At 40.9% G+C, this 18,695-nt stretch overlaps 1 long non-coding RNA gene and 1 pseudogene across 1 annotated transcript, besides 1 other annotated feature; both read right to left on the bottom strand.

Moving 5' to 3' along the window:
• Positions 1-1,451: 1,451 nt before the first annotated feature.
• LOC124907860 (uncharacterized) lies at positions 1,452-9,715 on the bottom strand. The gene is made up of 2 exons (XR_007087144.1): positions 9,520-9,715; positions 1,452-4,734 (listed from the first exon to the last, which is right to left on the bottom strand). It is a non-coding gene; the product is annotated as an uncharacterized LOC124907860 (long non-coding RNA).
• Positions 9,441-9,941: an enhancer, noted in NCBI's record as "H3K4me1 hESC enhancer chr2:98025423-98025923 (GRCh37/hg19 assembly coordinates)". NCBI's record gives its function as "activates a minimal SCP1, AML or CMV promoter by ChIP-STARR-seq in naive H9 embryonic stem cells {active_cell/tissue: H9 hESC(naive)}" and the evidence as "EXISTENCE:reporter gene assay evidence [ECO:0000049][PMID:30033119]".
• On the bottom strand, positions 13,448-13,984 carry UBE3AP1 (ubiquitin protein ligase E3A pseudogene 1; annotated as a pseudogene).

The raw sequence follows: 18,695 nt of genomic DNA on the forward strand, positions 1-18,695 counted from the left end.
GTCTTCTGGCGATGCTTTCTGTATGGTTATTCTGGGCGTTTTTTCTAATTGTGTTCCTGCACATTCTTAACTGGGCTCTTGAACACTCCAAGGGCTATTTTCCATCTTGGATAGCTGTCCCATTGTTGGTCTTGCTTTTGTTTTTGTGTTTGTATTTTTTGGGGTAGGCAGGCGAAGGCTGGTGTCTCCTAGTCAGTCATCTTGCTGATATCACTCCCCTAGGACATCATTTTGATGATGCGGTAACACTATCATGGAATAATACTTGGGCATGTTGAGGTAAGAATTAGAGTGTTCAGCATGTGGGAGGAACGTGAATTGCTTTGGTCACAGGGTGGACTGATGCCTGTTGTATTCTCCAACAAGGCTGTGACAAGATCTCCTATCCTACATTTTTTTCTAACAGGGTGATCTTGACTCTCCTCCCATTGAACCTACTGCCTTATGCTTCCTTCTGTTGAATTTTGGTAGGCATGCAACTGTGTAGAAGCAATGCTGTTTGTCTTCTGAGGCTATAAGAGGTCATCGAGGCTGCATAACTTCTGCCTGCTCCTCCTCTGGAAGTTTCAAGTAAACCAAGCAGCCACATGAATTGGCAAACAACTCCAGCTGAGAACCTTACGTCTAATGTCATCCACCTTTGAGATGACGCCTACCCTAGCCACTCACTGACTGCATCCTTAGGAAAGCCTGGCAGGAACCTTGTGGAGCCCAGGAAACATCCAGAACCATAGAGATGATAGGCAGTTGATTGCAGTTTTCATGTGTTATTAAGTTGGTGGGTAGTTTGTTTCGTGTGTATTAATAGTACCCAGAATACCAACTTACAGAAGGAATATGGAAGTAGAAAGTCAACTATTGATAGTAGATGAATCTGGGTCCAATTTATATTTCTTACAGTGTTTTTCCAACTTGTCACTGTTTGATATTATGGTAAAATAAAAAGTTATAAAGAGTATGTGCAAATGTACAAAAGGTTACTGAGAGAGAATCAAGGAGACTCAATAAGCGAAAGGTTTTACCATGTTCTTGTATTAGGAAACTTAATATTGTCAATATAATAACTCTCTCCAAATTAATTGAATACTGTGACAATCAAAATCCTGTGAATTTTGTTGAAATTTAAAAGCTGTTTCTAACTTAGATGGGCATTCGAAGAGGCAGAAAACAACAACAACAACAAAAAAAAAACAAAAAAACAACCATGGTAATCTTACATAATAAGAACAAGATTGGAAGATTAACACTTCCCAGTATTGAAGCTTATATTAAGCAACAGGAATGAAAACAGTATGGTATCGGTGAAGGCTGAGACAGATAACCCTGTGCAATGAGTCAGAGAATCTAAAACCAGATCTGCATGTATATATAGTCACTCAATTTACAATAAAAGTGCTACAGCAATTGTCTCAAACCATTTGTACAAAAAAAAATAAACACTTTAGATTGGATAATTACAAACAACATAAATTTATTTTTTTCATGGTTATAAAGGCTGTGAATTCCAAGGTCAACATGCTGGCAATCTCAGTGTCTGGTGAGGACTGTTCCTGCTTCCAAGATTGCACCCTGTGGCTGTGTTGTCACATGTTGGAGGTGGAAAGGCAAAAGTGGCAAGTCTGTGTAAAGCCACCTTATTAGACAGGAATCTCACTCACCAGTGCTGAGCCCTCATGACCTAATCACCTCCCAAAGGGTCTACTTTCTAATACTGTTGCCTTGAGATTCAGTTTTAACAGGAACTTTGGAGGTGACGCAGACATTCAGGCCATAGCAGTGATGTAGTAGAAAAAAATTCTAATAACTGAATTATATTGGATCAATTAGATATCCATATTACATCAAAATAAATCTTAACCTCTTCATTTTACTTCTACACTGATACAAATATCAACTCTAAATTAGAAACTGAAATGTGAAAGGCAAAAGAAGAAAGCTTTTAGAAAATAGTATAAAAAGATATTTCATGAATATGCATGTAGGAAAGATTTCTTGAAGAGAATATGCAAAGCACTAAGCATGAAAGAAAAGACTAATAAATTAGTTTGCATTAACATATTTTTGTAGCTTTAAAGAAATAAATGACAAAATGTTATTTGATACATACATATAAAAGAAATAAACTGCATTAGGAGATAGGAATGTGCGATTGTGGATAACCTCAAATGAGATATAAGTTATTGCCCCAACTTGCATTTTGTGAGTTAGAGTCACAGGAGCTTATCACATTGCTACTAATCACCAAATGAATGACTGAGTTTCGAATAAATAAACAACAAATAGCCATAGATGAAACTGCGTCATGATCAAGACGTTATAATTAACAGATTATCATTGTTGAGTATTATTAATTGAAATAAACAAATGTAATTGCTTGATTTTTAAAAGATTAGAGAGAAAAAAACAAAATTAAATACCCTGCCAATTTTCAAAGAAAATTTCTACAAAATATTTTATGTAATCAATAGAATGAAGAAAAAATATCAGGACCCGGATGAAAATGGAACGAACATATTTCTTCATACTCATTTCACTCAGATGTAACGAGTGAAAAGGTAATCTATCAACACTGCTGATACATGAGAAAATAAAAATCTAAATGTACTTGTTTAAAAAAGCAACTAAGGGGCGGGACCATAGCAACCAGAACTGGCCCTGCCAATGAGCAAATAAGTAATATAAAAGTTGGAAGAACAGTCTCAGTTCATGAAGTAGAGGTATATGAGATTAAATAAAGAAAAGAAAGAGTGAAACAGACAGAAAAACAGGATTGAAAGTCAAGCCCAATAAGGAAATATTTCCCTATATACTAGTCATTAGAACAGGGGTGATAAAGAGAAACATAATTTAAAATATTTATGCCTCTGTTATATATTCATGAGTGCAAATTTAACAGACTCGGAAATCTAGGCAAAATTAGGTAGCAAACACACAGGTGATTTTTACATGTTAAAAAATCAGGATCCAATAAAAAACCAAAATCTAAGGGAGGTTCTTTCTTCAGAGATAAAAATCAGGCTTGCTTCAGCAATGTAGTTTACAAACTCTGTTCCCAGAGAACAATGTAGTGATAGCTACATAACCACAAAAAGTCATTATGCCCATGCTTGCGAACTAAGGAAATGATCAAATATGAAGGAAATGTGCAATTTTGAAAATACACACCAACATAAATTTCATGACCATGTAAAAAAATAGAAAATCTTGAAAGATTTATTTTGATTCATCAAGAGTTTAAGCAGCATGCTCCAGTAAAGGAAGCTGTGCCTTGTGATTTTAAAAGGCTGTTGGTGGCTGGGAGCAGTGGCTCACACCTGTAATCCCAGCACTTTGGGAGGCCAAGGCAGGTGCATCACTTGAGGCCAGGAGTTTGAGACCAGCCTGGCCAACATGGTGAAATCCCGTCTCTACTAAAAATACAAAAATTAGCCGGTCTTGGTGGTGGGTGCCTGTAGTCCCAGCTACTTAGGAGGCTGAGGCAGGAGAATCGTTTGAACCCAGGAGGTCAAGGTTGCAGTGAGCCAAGATGGTGCCACTGTGCTCCAGCCTGGGAGACAGAGCAAGACTCCATCTCAAGAATAAAAATAAAAATAATAAATAAAAAAATAAAAATAAAAGGCTGTTAGTAAAACCTTTGGGTTTGGTAAACACATTGAAGTGCTGGCAGGTGGCTGCCTAGAGAGGACATGGAAGCTTTGCACCATCTCACCCCGTCTCAACCTACCCCGTCATCTTGCCATATGCATCTCTTCAGTTAGGCACTTCCTGAGTTGCATGCTTTATAACAAACCAGGAAATGTAACAAACAAAACAAAACAAAACAATCTTGCTGGAAGGAATCTTGCTTGATTAGTAGAAATGATTAAACCAAGAATCTAAGTCAGTTGAAAATTCACTTACAAATGCAAGTCACTGTATAGGAATAATTCTTGAAATATAAGGTATGTAATATGATACCACATAATTATAATCTAAAAAATCTAAATAAGAATGATAACATTCCTTATGCAAAAACATAAAGCAGAGTCAGGGTGAAGACAATAAAAGGAGCAGTTTTGCTGTTACGCTAATTAAGTATATGGTGAAAATTAATCACCAATTTTTTCTTGACTTTGGAAATACAGAATTGTAGATTCATGTAGGCTTAATAAAATTAAAGTATGCATATATCATTTTCTTCGTGATTATCTTTAAAGGAAAATTTAAGACAAATAAAATAAACTATATTAAAATATGAGTAAAACAAAAACACAAAGTGTGAAAACAAAATCATAAAAAACACCACAGTGGCATTAATACCAACACTTCTGGATTCCACACTGTTGTGAAGGCCTGAGTAAAACCTGTATTCACTCCCCAAGGGAAGAGAATCCATGTTAAATCAGGACAACTGAAGCACTAATATTCTCTTAACAAAACTCCTCTCATCAGACTAACCACTGACCAGATGTTCAGGAGGGACTAATTGCTCTCTCTCCCCCATGATAAAAAATGCTGTCTGACAGCAGAACAGTTGGCGGAAAATAAAATGCAAATATTTTAAACTCAATTTGTGAAGGGCAGTAAATAAATATCTCACAAGACATGGTAAGGATGTTAAGGGCTTCCACCCTGGTCTTGGGGTCCCAACCTGGTTCCATCTCCCTGGATCTGGAACTCATTTCACTGTCACCATCAACACCATGGAGGCTGAGGAGGCTGCAACGTCTTCCTCTCAGCAGGAGGATGAGTTTCCTGAAACAGAGACACAGGCCTGAAGGCAACTTCCTGTGTTTACTTTAAGACTGTAGATGCGCGTGCAAAACGTATTTTCTTTGCATTTTGATCCTTCGTATATTTTCCCTTTGTTTTGGTTAGAACTCACTCACAGTGGTTGTTTATTAATAAAATATTTTTTCCTGTTATATGAGATTCATGGGATTTATTCAACCAGGCATAAAAAAAAATCTGCCTTCTTGAGGTTCTTCTACTTTATGTGAGGAGTTTCGACAGCCAATGAAACAGTTAACTAGTAAAAGGAGTAGACATTAGTGTCCCAGTAACTTCAAATTGGGGGTTCTTGTCCAGAAGTTTAGGAGCCCAGAAACCTAAAGATAGGCACACAGCATAAAGACAAGGCATTCCTTCTCAATTTCTTGTTCCTCCCACAGGAAGTTCTCATTTTTCCTTATTCAGCTCCCCATTTTAATTTTGTTTTGTTTTTCCTAGCTTGTGTCTTGAGCAAATTCCTCCTTCTGTGACCCAACTTCCCCGTGTGGTTCTCAGCCTGTACCGTCCTCTCAATAACTCTGGGAGTGAGTTGGCATCTACAAGGCAGAAATTGGAGACCCTCATTTATGAAGAGCGGGAAAAATTAAAAGAGTAATGAATGAGCGTCTCTGAGCTACCTCAGATTTATTTTTTACACCCTCAAATATTTCAGCTGTTCTCAATACTCATTCACTAAGAGATTCTTTCTTCTTATTACACAGGCTAATGTTACGGCCACTTTGGGAAACGGTCTGGCAGTTTCTCAAATGGTAAAACATGCAATTGCCATATAATCCAGCAATTCCACTTATAGGATTATACACCCCCAAATGAAAACGTTTGTCTACACAAAAAAGTGTATGAATGCCCGTAGCAGTGATACTCAAAGAGACAAAAACTAGAAAAAAACCAAATATCCATTAACTGATACATGGAAAAGCAAAATATGGTATGTATATGCAATAGAATATTATTAGGTCATAAAAAGAAATTAAGTACTCACAGACATGACAACATAGAAATACTCGGCATACCTTTTGGTCGGTGAACTAAGCCAGTCACAAAAGACTACATGTAGTCTGAATGTATTTATGAGAAATGTCCACAAGAGGCAAATTTTAAAAATGTAGAAAGTAGACTCTTGTTTGCCTGAGGAGTTGGGCAAAATCCAAGTGACTTCTAATAGGCACAGGGTTTCTTAAGGCTGATGGAAACGTTCTGTAAGTGATTCATGTTATAAACCCCGAATATCTGAGACAAGTCTCAGTTAATTTAGAAAGTTTTTTTTTCCCAAGGTTAAGGAAATGAGCCTGTGACACAACCTCTGGTCCTAATGACATGTACCCAAGGTAGTTGAGGCACAGCTTGGTTTTACACATTATAGGGAGACATGAGACGTCAGTCAATATATGTAAGATGTATATTGGTTCCGTCCAGAAAGGCGGGACAACTCAAGCAGGGAAGGGGCTTCCAGGTCAGAGGTAGGTAAGACAAACAGTTGCATTCTTTTGAATTTCTGATTAGCGCTTCCAAAGAGGCAATAAGATATGAATTAATCTCAGTGAGCAGAGGGATGATTTGAATAGAATGGGAGGCAGATTGGCCCTAAGAATTTCCCAGCTTGACTAATCCCTTCAGCTTAGTGATTTTTGGGCCCCATGGTTATTTTCCTTTCACAATGTGATTATTGCATAACTCTGTGAATATACTAACACAATTAAATTGTTCAATTTAAATTGAGGAAACATATGGTGTATCAATTATATCACCAGAAAGAGGCTCATTTTAACCGTAAGATTCTAAGAGCAAAGAGAAGTTGGGCAAGAAACATGAAGACTGTATGCAAAAGATCTATTTATTGGGTGTGCCTGGGACCCATTGTTCTGAGAAAAGGTTTGCAAATATTGATATGATCCAACTTTAGAACTAGTGACTGACAGGTTTGTCTTTAAATGGGGTCACCAGAATTCTCCGTGAGGCTCTTCTTCAAGGTGAATGACGATGAACAACTCTCATCACGTATCTACTTGAATTTTACTCATCTCATTTCTATGAATGATATAGCAAGTAGGAAAAAGACTATGTTTTAGTTTCACCTTTCAATGAGTAAAATTGCCAGAGGCTTCAGTGCAGTCTTGGGGGTAGAAAATACTTTGAAGCAAATTGTTCTTGTTCTGTGAATATTACCTAATTTGTTTCATAAATTTAGAGGCACTAAGAATCATTGTTAAGTACGATTCATTTTCAGTACATAGGAATTTCAATTTTTTGCAGTACCAGAAAGACAGGGTGGTGATTCATGTGTCCCTGAGGTCATTTAGACTTTGTGAAACTTGTACGTGGAACCTCTTATATGTGGTGAGATGGACTTATACCTAACATGTGAAAATGAATCTATGATATTATGAAATATAATTTGATGAGATCTTTAAAAAATTCATTTGAAGTTGATTAGTTGAAATGACATTATGCTTTTATAGATTAATTTATTTAATATTTTTGTAGGGTAAATCCCACATATAAAAAACATAACATATTCATAGTATGTACATTTACAAGTCATAAGTGCACAACTTAATGACTTTTCAGACTGAACACACATGGGTGACCACCAAACATACCATGAAACAGAACATCGGCAGTCCACAATTACCCATCTCCCTTCTTATAGTCCTGGCCAGAGAGCCCTAAATTCACACTGGTGCCCTGTGCCCTCCTTTGAAACCATTCCACTCTCAAGACCCTGGCATGCTAGGCCTGTGATGGGAGTGGTAGCCTGATAAATCTCCTAAATGCCTTCAGGGACATTCTTCATTGTCTTGATGAATAGTATCTGGCATCCTTACATGCCCACTATTTTCTGTATCAAAAGTTCACTTGGCCACATCCTTGGTTGTACTCCCTCAAAAAAGCTTTTTCATTCTTCACGATCTGGCGAGACTGAGAAATTTTCCAGTCTTTAAGTTCTGCTTTCCTTTTGATTTTCTTTAATTCATATCTCTCTTGTCACCTTTTATGGTAAGCAGTCAAGAGAAGCCGTGTTGCACCCTCAACACTTTGCTTAGAGATTTATTCTGCCAAACATTCCATTTCATCACTCTTAGGTTCTGCCTTCTACAAAACACTGGGACACAAACACAATTCTGCCAAGTTCTTTACCACTTTATGACAAGAAATGTCTTTCCCCTACTTTCCAGTAGCGTGTTCCTCATTCACCTCTATTCCCCAAAGTAATGCCCTTTATTGTCCATATTTCTGCCAACATTCTCTTCTCATCCATTAGACAGTCTCTAAGGAGACTGAGGCTTTCTCTACAGCTCTGCTCTTCCTCTAAGCCCTCACCAGAGTCACCCTTTGTGGTCTGTTCGTGGCAATACAGGCTTTGCCAGCGCACACTTCCAAACTCTTCCATCATCTACCCATAGCCACTTCCACATTTTAGGAGTTGTGACAGCAGCACCACACTTCTTAGTAGCAATTCCTGTCTTAGTCCATTCTTGCTGCTATAACAAAATACTTAGACTGGGAAATTTAAAAACGTTAGAATTTTATTTCTCATAGGTCTGGAGATGGAAGTTCAATATCAAGGCACTAGAATATTTGGTGTCTGGTGAGGGCCTATTCCTTGTAGATGCTCCCTTCTCTGCATCCTCACATGGAAGAAATGTAAAAAATAATCTAGCAGGCTTTTTTGTGCACTTTGATAAGGGTGCTCATCTCATTTATAAGGGGAGAATGAGATATTTCCTTGTTGCATGAGGCATGAGAAGTATATTTTTCAAGCATCCACACCTGTGAGTCTGATCAAATGTTGTTGGCAATAAAATTGTTCTGAAACCTGGCTGTGCAGCTGAGTCTGAGGAAAAAATCAAGAATCACAATAAAATGTTTGCGGCAATTTACTCCTTACGACTTCCAAATTTTCAAAGAGAGGTAATAATGTTAAAAACCCAGGGGTCACCAAAGCAGTTGTCCACAAAAGCAGCAGCTGGCTTGATCAAAAGAAAAAAAAAATACCTATGGTGTTTGGAAAGGTTTTGTTTCATGCTGAATGAACGTTGTGGGACACACACTGCTATACTGATAAAGTGATAAAGTGCCAAATCTTCAGGCTCCGGCTTGCTGATGGTTCTCCCATGGAGGACCTACTTCCCCATGTCTTGGATCTAGGCTGGGCTCTGGCCTTGTTTTGGCCAGTAGAATGTGGTAAAAGGAAGTCTGTGCCCAAGAGCTCAGACCTTGCAGCTTTCACCTCCCGCTTGGAGTGTAAACTCATCTAACCTATTAGTAGAGGTCACAGAGTGGAGACCCAGGTGCCAAGCAACCACCAGCACCAATGGCTAAATGTAGGTAAAGCGGTTAGTGACATAAAGAGACATTGGGGGATGGTGAGCAGTGGAAATGGTCAGTAGGAAGAAGTATTTCATCTGATATTTATCTGATATTGTTCAGAATTGCCCATGCGTGTTTCTAACAAGAAGCACTTTTTAAAAAAAAAAAGACCTTTTTTTGGTGGCAAGACACATTTTTTTTGTCTTAAAATCTTATAGACAGAGACTCTGTGGTCCTCAGGGTGGCTGATAACAGATTCACGGCTGTGGACACCTCTGCCTCCTGGTTAGCCCTGGACACCTGTGCCTCAGTTTCCTACTGAGAGTTAGGCAAAACACCTCACCACGTCACAATGTAATTTCCAAAACTCACTGAGGTCATTATCGCTGTGTCCAGGGTTAAGGCCCCTGCATGGTCTGCAGTGGGAAATGTACTCACCTTGAAAGCCCAGCACCAGGAGGCAGACGAGCAGGGCCAGGAAGCGCATCTTGGAGGGTCCAGGAAAACTGCTGCTTCTGGATCTAAGGGCGAGGAGAATGTGGTTGGGCTGGTCATTCAAGTCTGGGTTTCTCCAGAAGCGGGGCCCAATAAGCACAGGTTTCCCTGGAGTCGATTTGCATGTCTGATGACCTGAACTCAGCTACTCGGGAGGCTGAGGCAGGAGAATGGCGTGAACCCGGGAGGCGGAGCTGGCAGTGAGCCGAGATCGCGCCACTGCACTCCAGTCTGGGCGACAGAGCGAGACTCTGCCGCAATAAATAAATAAATAAATAAATAAATATATAAAGTGCACAATAAATGTAATGCACTTGAATCATCTGGAAACCATCCCCACCCCCCAGTTTGTGGAAAAATAGTCTTTCACAAAACTGATCCCTGGTGCCAAAAAGATTGGGGACCTCTGCTCAACATGCTTGTGCAAAACACCATCTGGCTGAGTGTAGGTGACTGGTGAGGCAGGAGGACAGGGATTAAATTCTGTAGCCACAGGGAAGCTCTACCCTCAGGCTGAGCCAATGGCCTTTCCCGACCTGACCACCTGGGCAGGGGCTGCTCAGTGCAGACAGGAGGAGGCAGGTGGTCTCTGCAGCTGGAAGCCCAGTGCCTGCCCCAGCTGCTTTGCATGTCCCTCCCGGTTGCCCTGCTGATCAGAACCCTTATCAATGCCTGGATAAGAGCTCAGGGGAAGAGCTGCTCAGTTAGGACCCATAGGGAACCACGGAAGCCCCAGCTCAGCCTCTCTGTCTCTTGTTACTCTGGGTGTCAAATGAGGGGGACATGGTGAGGGGAGAAGGAAATGGTGCTGCATATCAGTGAAACTCTCTCAACCTTGTGGGTTCCTCTGACCTGGCACCACTGCTGAGCAAGGATCCTAATTAAAATTCAGTGTAGCAGTGATTCTGGCTGTACTGGGAAGACACTGGGTTTGATGCAGCTTATATAGGTGACTTGTTTGTTTTATTCCAATGTCAGAATACTGGAGAAATTACGTTGACCAATCTCCCACCTCTCTGTCTTTGTCTCCAGGGCAAAGAGCCTCCCTCATCTGCAGGATCATTCAGAGCACTGGCTGCTCTGACTGACCAGCAGAAACCTGGGCAGGATCCCCAGCTGCTCAAGCATGGTGCATTCACCAGGGCCACTGACATCCCAGTGGGGCTCAGTAGCTGTGAATCTGGGATGTACTTTACTCTCACCAACAGTAACCTGGAACCTGAAGATTTTGCACTTGATTACTCTTATCTGTATAGTAGTTGGAATTTCACAGTTATTCAACATAAAACAAAACCTTTCAAAACACCATAGGTACTTTTTTTTCCCTCAAACAAGCTGCTTCCTTCATGAGTAGCTGCTTTAGTGGCCCCTCAGTTGTAGTATCTTTGCCTTTATTTGGAAACTTTGAAGTTCTGAGGAGTAATTTACTCTGAACTTATTTTATTTTAATGTTTCTTAATTTTGATTCCTTTATTTTAATTCCCAAATTTTTCTCAGACTTAGTTGCACAGCAGGCTTTTAGACCAATTTTATTGTCAACAACATTTGATCAGACTCATAAGAGTGAGTGCTTAAAAAGACATACTTCTCATGCTTCATGCAACAAGGCAACAACAACAAAAAAACAAAAAAATGAGAAGTGAAAAGAAAGAATTAAAACTATCATGATTCATAAATAAAAAGATTATGTACAGAGAAAATTGCAAATTATGTTACAGAGAAAGTAGTTATGACCTGAATGTTTGTGTTCTTCCAAATTTCATGTTGAAACTTAATCCTTAAAGCAATATTAAGAGTTGGGCCTTCAAGAGATAATTAGTTCATGAGGGGGTCTCGCTTCGTGAATGAGAGAAGTGCCCTAATAAAAGTGCACAAGAAAGCTTGCTAGATTATTTTTTGCATTTCTTCCACCTGAGGCTGCAGAGAAGGGAGCATCTATGAGGAATAGGCCCTCACCAGACACCAAATATTCCAGTACCTTGATCTTGGACTTCTCATCTCCAGAACTATGAGAAATAAAATTCTATTGTTTGTAAATTACCCAGTCTAAGTATTTTGCTATAGCAGCAAGAATTGGCTAAGACAGGAATTGCTACTGAGAAGTGGGGTGCTGCTCTCACAACCCCTACACAACCCCTAATGTAGAAATGGCTATGGGTAGAGGCTGGAAGAGTTTGGAAGTGTGCGCTGTCAAAGCCTGTATTGCCACGAACAGACCACAAAGGGTGACTCTGGTGAGGGCTTAGAGGAAGAGCAGAGCTGTAGAGAAAGCCTCAGTCTCCTTAGAGACTGTCTAATGGTTGCGAAGAGAATGTTGGCAGAAATATGGACAATAAAGGACATTATTTTGAGGAATGGAGGGGAATGAGGAACATGCTATTGGAAACTAGTGGAAAGACATTTCTTGTCATAAAGTGGTAAAGAATTTGGCAGAATTGTGTTTGTGTCCCAGTGTTTTGTGGAAGGCAGAACCTAAGAGTGATGAAGTGGGACGTTTGGCAGAAGAAATCTCTAAGCAGCATGGCTTCTCTTGACTGCTTACAATAAAAGGTGAGAATAAAGAGATGAATTAAAGACACAATTTATAATTAAAAGGGAAGCAGAACTTAAAGTTTTGAAAATCTCTCAGCCTGGCCAGATTATAAAGAATGAAAAAGCTTGTCTGAGGGAGAACATCAAGGATGTGGCCAAGTGAACATTTGATAAAGAGAATCATAGGGATTTAAGAACTGCAGATGCTATTCATGAAGACAATGTAAGAATGATCCTGAAGAAAATTTACCAGGCTGCCACTCCCATCATAGGCCCAGCATGCCAGGGTCTTGAGAGTGGAACAGTTTCAAAGGAGGGCACAGGGTACCTGTGTGATTTGGGGGCTCTCTGCCCAGGACTATAAGAAGGGAGGTGGGTACTTGGGGACTGCCAATGTTATGTTTCATGGTATGGTTGGTGGTCATTCAGGTGTGTTCACGCTGAAAATTCATTAAATAGTTCATATATGATTTGTGAGTGTACATACAATATATGTGTTATGGTTTGTGGATGTATATGTATATGTGAGATTTTCTCTACCAAAAATTTACTAAATAATCTATAAAGCATAATCTCATTTCAACTAATTAACCACAAATGAACTTTTTTCTGCAGTCCCATCAAATTATATTTAGTAATAATATGGGTTCATTTTCACATGTCATATATAAGCCCATCTCATCCAATGTAAGAGGTTCTTGGGTAACCACAAGTTCCACAACATCTTAATGACCCCAGGGACACATGAATCACCACTCTCTTTTTTGTCCTGGAAAGCATTGAAATTCCAGCCTACTGAAAATCAATGAACTAATAATGGTTCTTAGAAAAGCTTCCAAGTAGTTAGTGCTGGATTCCAGGGAGGGTGGCAAGAGGTTGGGTCCCAGCACGAAGGAAGCCAAAGTGATTCCTGGGAAAGGCTGTGGGTGTGAGAAGGAACTTAGAACTCAGACCTGTGGCCATAGTCTTAGGATACCAAGAGTTGACAATAACACAAATGGGGCTCCAGGACAACCCAGAACAAGAGTGTTATAGTCAATTGTCATCTTGCTTATCTTTCTCATGCTATGCAGCAAAAGATAGGTAGAAGTTTCTATGATGGAAATGAGGCAAGAAAATAGGGTCTGGAGGCAGGGAACATACGGCCGATTCACACTTCAGCTATGATAGGAAATATTCTCTCCATAGGGCTTACACCAAGTAAATGACTTTGTAACTTTACTCCCTCCTCTTCATTTACATGGGGCATATACCAAGTAACCAATGGAATCCTCTAGAGGGTATTTAAACCCCAAAAAATTCTGTAATGGGGCCCTTGAGCCCCTATACTCAGGCCCTCTCCCACACTGTGGAGTGTACTTTCATTTTCAATAAATCCCTTCCTTGCTTTGTTTGTGCATTTTGTCCAATTCTTTGCTCAAAATGCCAAGAACCTGGCCACCATGCACTGGTAACAGAAGCAACGTGCATGAAACCTCACTGTCTTTAGTGATGTACTTGTTAGATGTAGAATAAATATTGAAGAATTTGATTTGACATCAGGGTGATCACAGCTTTGAGTCATTGATTAAAAACAGGTTGTCACACCAGACTAGCTGCTAACTTGATCTGAGTGTAGTCTGAATAACTCATATTTCACCAAACTTCTGAGGAGCTGGTGAATTCTAAAATCAGGATCTTAACAGATTTTTGACATTTGGCTAACTTCAATGTCATCGGGCTGAGGTTCTCCTGGTAATCTGGTCTCTACCAGCTTTTTGGGTAAGTACTCCAAGATGAAGAATTTGATTTGAAATTGACACCTGACTAGTAATATCTTACATGACCTCTATCTATGTATTTATTGATTTACAATTTTGTCTATAACTTCTGATTTACTGAAGTTTACCCCTGCTTTTAAAAACCCTTACCTGTAAGGCATAAGGGAGGTCAAGACTTAAGCATTAGATGCCTGGTCCTCTTTGCTAGCTGCCCTGCCTTCCTGTCTTCTGCTGCAAACTCAGTATGGATAACCGGTTTTGCTGCACAAAGTCAGTCAAATACCTTGTGGATCCATAACACAAGCTCTGTTTATAGTAGCATTAATACATTCATAAGGGCAGAGCCCTCATGATTGAACACTTCCCATTAGACCCCACCTCTCAATTCTCTTGCATTGGGGATTAAGTTAACAGCAGATAGACTTGAGGGGACACAGTGAAATCATGGCACCATCCAAGGGAAGGCTCATTCTAAGCCCCGTGGTCTGCCATGCGTGCAGGCAGAGCTGCCTTTCTCAGAGAGAGCAGTGAGGGGCAGAGATGGCCATGGGGAATCAGCAGAATCGCAATGAAAGGGAAAGGCATGGGATGCAGAGAGGGACTGCTCCAACCATTTAGAAAAAAGCACCTGTACTTTCCACCTGGAGCTGTATCCCTCTAGAATGGTGTTTCCTGGCAGGTCAGTTGCAACTGAAGGAATCTGGGAAGTAACATCTCAAGATAAGCTACATTGGTAGGGCGACTACTTCAAACTGAAGTTGTTTAGAAAAGAGCAAATGCACAAAAGGGCTTTTCCTAAATCGCCCTTATCTTCCTAAAGGCAGATCCTCCAGAAACAAGCCAATTGTCATTAAAACCCTCTCTGGGAATGTTTTTCTACCAGAGAATATTAACATGCACTAGAAATTAAATCCAGAAGAAATTTGAAGTTGACTTCATCCAGGCAGGGTTTTACGTATTCTTTTGAGGATCCATTTCTTTTCTTGAGTCATTTACTCTCCCTAGGTTGCCGACACTCCCCACTTCCCTCTCCCCTGTGAAGGATATATAAGCACCTAGACCTCACTGAGTTATCTGGGTAATCCCTCTTCTGTGATTTTTTTCCAAGCATGCAAAATAAATGTATTTGCCTGTTTCTAGTATAATTTGTCTTTTTTTCTATATTTTCAGCAAACGTTTAGAGGGCAAAAGAAACTTTTCCCTCTACACAAGATATTTCCCTTAAAACCCAAGCCTATGAATAGGCAGCATGAGGGTGTGTGCACAGGCTACACCACAGTAATTTGGCCATTCTTAACTCAAGCATCATTAATACGCCCCAGAACCACAGGCTGCAGCCCACTGATGCTGATGTAGTTGAATCCACTTCCTCTGCTGCTGAACCAGGCTGAGATGCCCTGGACCACATTGGAGATGTGATATAATGTGTACAAATCTGTGTCCAGTTTTATCCAGATCCAAGTGATTTCTTCATGTACTTGGCCATTTGCTTCTTAGGAGATGGACATTCTCTCTTCTGGATATGAGACAGGAGGCTGGCATCTGAGTTACGGTGATGTCCCTACTTACTGCTAAAGAGTAAAAGAGGAAAATGGCATTGATTGTGCAAGGCAGGGACATGCACCAAGTAGCAGTTGCCCTCAATAAGAGAGAGGCTTCAATGTCCTGGTCTTTCCCAAGGTCTCACCCTCACCTGCTCTCCAGGAATTCAGGTTCCAGAGAAGCTGCACCTGAGCCCCAAGGAACCTGCTGGCGGGGAGTGCAGCTCAGAGCATTACCCAGGGGATATGATCTTGGTCTTCATACTTTTAAGATAATTGATCCTTGGATAATTTCAAGTTTATCCTAATCCAGGCTCCTAAAATTGAAAGAAGAATTAAGTGTCTTATTTTGAAGTAATCAGATCTGGCATCACTAGTCAGCCCTTCATGTTGAGGAATCTTGGGAAATAATACCCGATGACAGAAAAGGGGGTTGAATATGGAGGTCCCCACACCAAAAATAAAATGCAACCCATAAAATCCCCAGCATTAAAGAGGTCTACTTACTTGCATTATGGTGGATCTGTGAGTGAAACATACTTTGAGGACTTACAATATAATCTTTGTGTACCTACAGTGAATTGCTTGACCTTATAGTAATAATGAGAATGGCTTAAGGTCATTACAAAACATTTTCAAATATGTTTAGCATTATCTTGATAAATTTTCTTTTTTTTTTAAGAAGGAACAATTTTACACCCCCTCCCTTTCAGAGTATATTGAAGACCTCATGATCCCACCTTCTAAAACTTTACTATGTGTTTCTGAAAGGGAAGAATATTCACCTATGTAATTGCCATACACCAATGGAATACATTACTCCCTCAAGTAATCAGGAGTATTTCAAATTTTGACAAGTATCAAGAAAAGGTTCTTCATTACAAAATGGCCTTCAGGAAAAAACAGCTTCATTACAGACAAATCTGGGCTGCCCTGGTCTGACCTGGGACCCTGGGGACACTTCCCCTGTGCTGAGTTACTGAGATGAGCCAGCCCTGCAGCTGTGCCCAGCCTGCCCCATCCCCTGCTGATTTGCATGTCCTACAGCACAGGCCCCTGCCCTGAAGACTTCTTAATTGACTGGTCACACTCTGTGCAGAAGTCAGTCCCAGTCAGGACACAGCATGGACATGAGGGTCCCCGCTCAGCTCCTGGGGCTCCTGCTGCTCTGGCTCTGAGGTAAGGAAGGAGAACACTAGGAATTTACTCAGCCAGTGTGCTCAGTACTGTCTGGGTCTTCAGGAAGGGCTTCTTACAACATGATTGATTGTGTGGAAATTTGTTTTTATGTTTCCAATCTCAGGTGCCAGATGTGCCATCCAGATGACCCAGCCTCCATCCTCCCTGTCTGCATCTGTAGGAGACAGTGTCACCATCACTTGCCGGGCGAGTCAGAGTTTTACCAATCAGTTAGCCTGGTATCAGCAGAAACCAGGGAAAGCTCCTAAGCTCCTGATATATAGGGTATCCAGTTTGCAAACGGGGGTTCCATCTCTGTTCAGTGGTAGTGAATCTGGGACAGATTTCACTCTAACCATCAGCAGCCTGCAGCCTGATGATGTTGCAACTTACTACTGTCAACAGTAACTCCCACAGTGTTACAAGTCATAACATAAACCATCAAGGGAAGCAGATGTATGAGGGTGGGCTGCCACGGATGCTTCTCCTGGTGCCTCCATCTGCAGAGAGCATTTTTCAAATTGCAGCCATGCTTTGGACATCACTGGAAAGTTTTGGCAGAAGGAGCCATGAAGCTTCCTCTATACCTTAACAGTCTTTCCTTCTCCGCATCCTCAGCAGCACAGACATGGCAATGCCTCTCCTGATTTTATTAGGAAAAGATATGATTACACCTGAGTCTGAGTTATTGTGTGAGTTGGAATTAATAGCACAAAGGAGAAGCCACTCTTGGAATTCCAAGTAGGATTTTTTTTTTTCTAAATACAGAGAATGAGAATCTAAACTACAGCCTTTAAAAGGCTTGGGGGCAAAGATCCAAATACTAGAAAAAAAAGGATTCTCTTGATCTCCACATAAATCCAGAATGCATCTGCCACAGAAGGTATAATTGCCAATCATGTGGTCCTCAGACATGTCTGGGAAGCCCAGGTTTATGGGTGTTGATGCTCTGCCTGGAAGACTTGTCTGATCTTCTAGGGCATCTGCTTATAACTGACCAGTCAAGGTCCTATTCCATAGAGAGCTAACACAAGTGGATGATCCAGATTTTACATCCACACCTTTTCTGCATGGATGGTGCAGTCTGTCTTCACTCGCAGGCTTTCCCCTTCACTGTACTTCTGCTGACCCCTCATGGCCATGTCTGTGCCTCACTGCTGTCGCTGGAGTTGGGGAAGCAGCTCTGCCTGCACATGTGGCAGACCTCAGGGCCTGAAATGAGCATCCCCTAGAACAGTCCTCAATCAGTGAGAAAAGGTGAGGTATATAAATACCCCAGCTCCCTCACCTTTCAGGTGGAATAGCCCAGAGACGTTTTCTTGTGTTTCCCCTTGGGCTCGAGCTCTAGTGGTCCTCATGGGTAGCTGCTTGCTGATGGGCCTTTCACCATCCATCATCTCTTCCCTCTCTCACGTTCCACCTTCTGTCTCAGGGTTTCCTGCCGCTTGTAATTAAGGTACTTCCATGAGAATCCTTGTTGTTAGAAACTTAACCTAAGACTATAGGCAAATCCTCAATTGTGGTGGTGTCTGCTGTCAAATTCTTGCCACTTCTCCTTTTATAATTGACAGAGCAGAAGCATCGTCATCTTGGACAAACACCACCATCTAAAGTTCCAGCTCCCTTTCTAACCTCATGCATTTCAAGGAAATCACTTCTCTGGTTCAGGTCATCAGACATGCAAACTCACTCCAAGACAGTAAAACACAGATAAGACAGCTTGGGTACAGGAGCAGGGAAAGTTTCTTGGTAACCACCAAACTTCACATTCATATACTGGGCCCCAGTAAAATGGTGGGCCCTAATAAGCACATTCCTTTCCCTTTTGGTACACTAAGAAAGGGATGCTAAAAGCAGACTTGGGGGGTATGCCCGCAGCTGCAGGAAGATGCATGGGAACAGACACAAAAACTCTGCCTCCCAGATAGGCAAGACAAAGAGACACAGAAACATTCCAAGCCTGTGATAAGCTCTCCTGCCCTGAACCCTTAACTATTCTTAGTCTGTAAGAGAGAGTGCTCCTGACCTAACTCGACCAGACACCCCTCTCAGGCTTATTCTCCAAAATAAACCTGTCTTTCACTGTTGAGCCACTTTTCGTGTTTCT

The sequence above is a fragment of the Homo sapiens genome, chromosome 2 (genome assembly GCF_000001405.40).
Source record: "Homo sapiens chromosome 2, GRCh38.p14 Primary Assembly".
Taxonomy (NCBI): domain Eukaryota; kingdom Metazoa; phylum Chordata; class Mammalia; order Primates; family Hominidae; genus Homo; species Homo sapiens.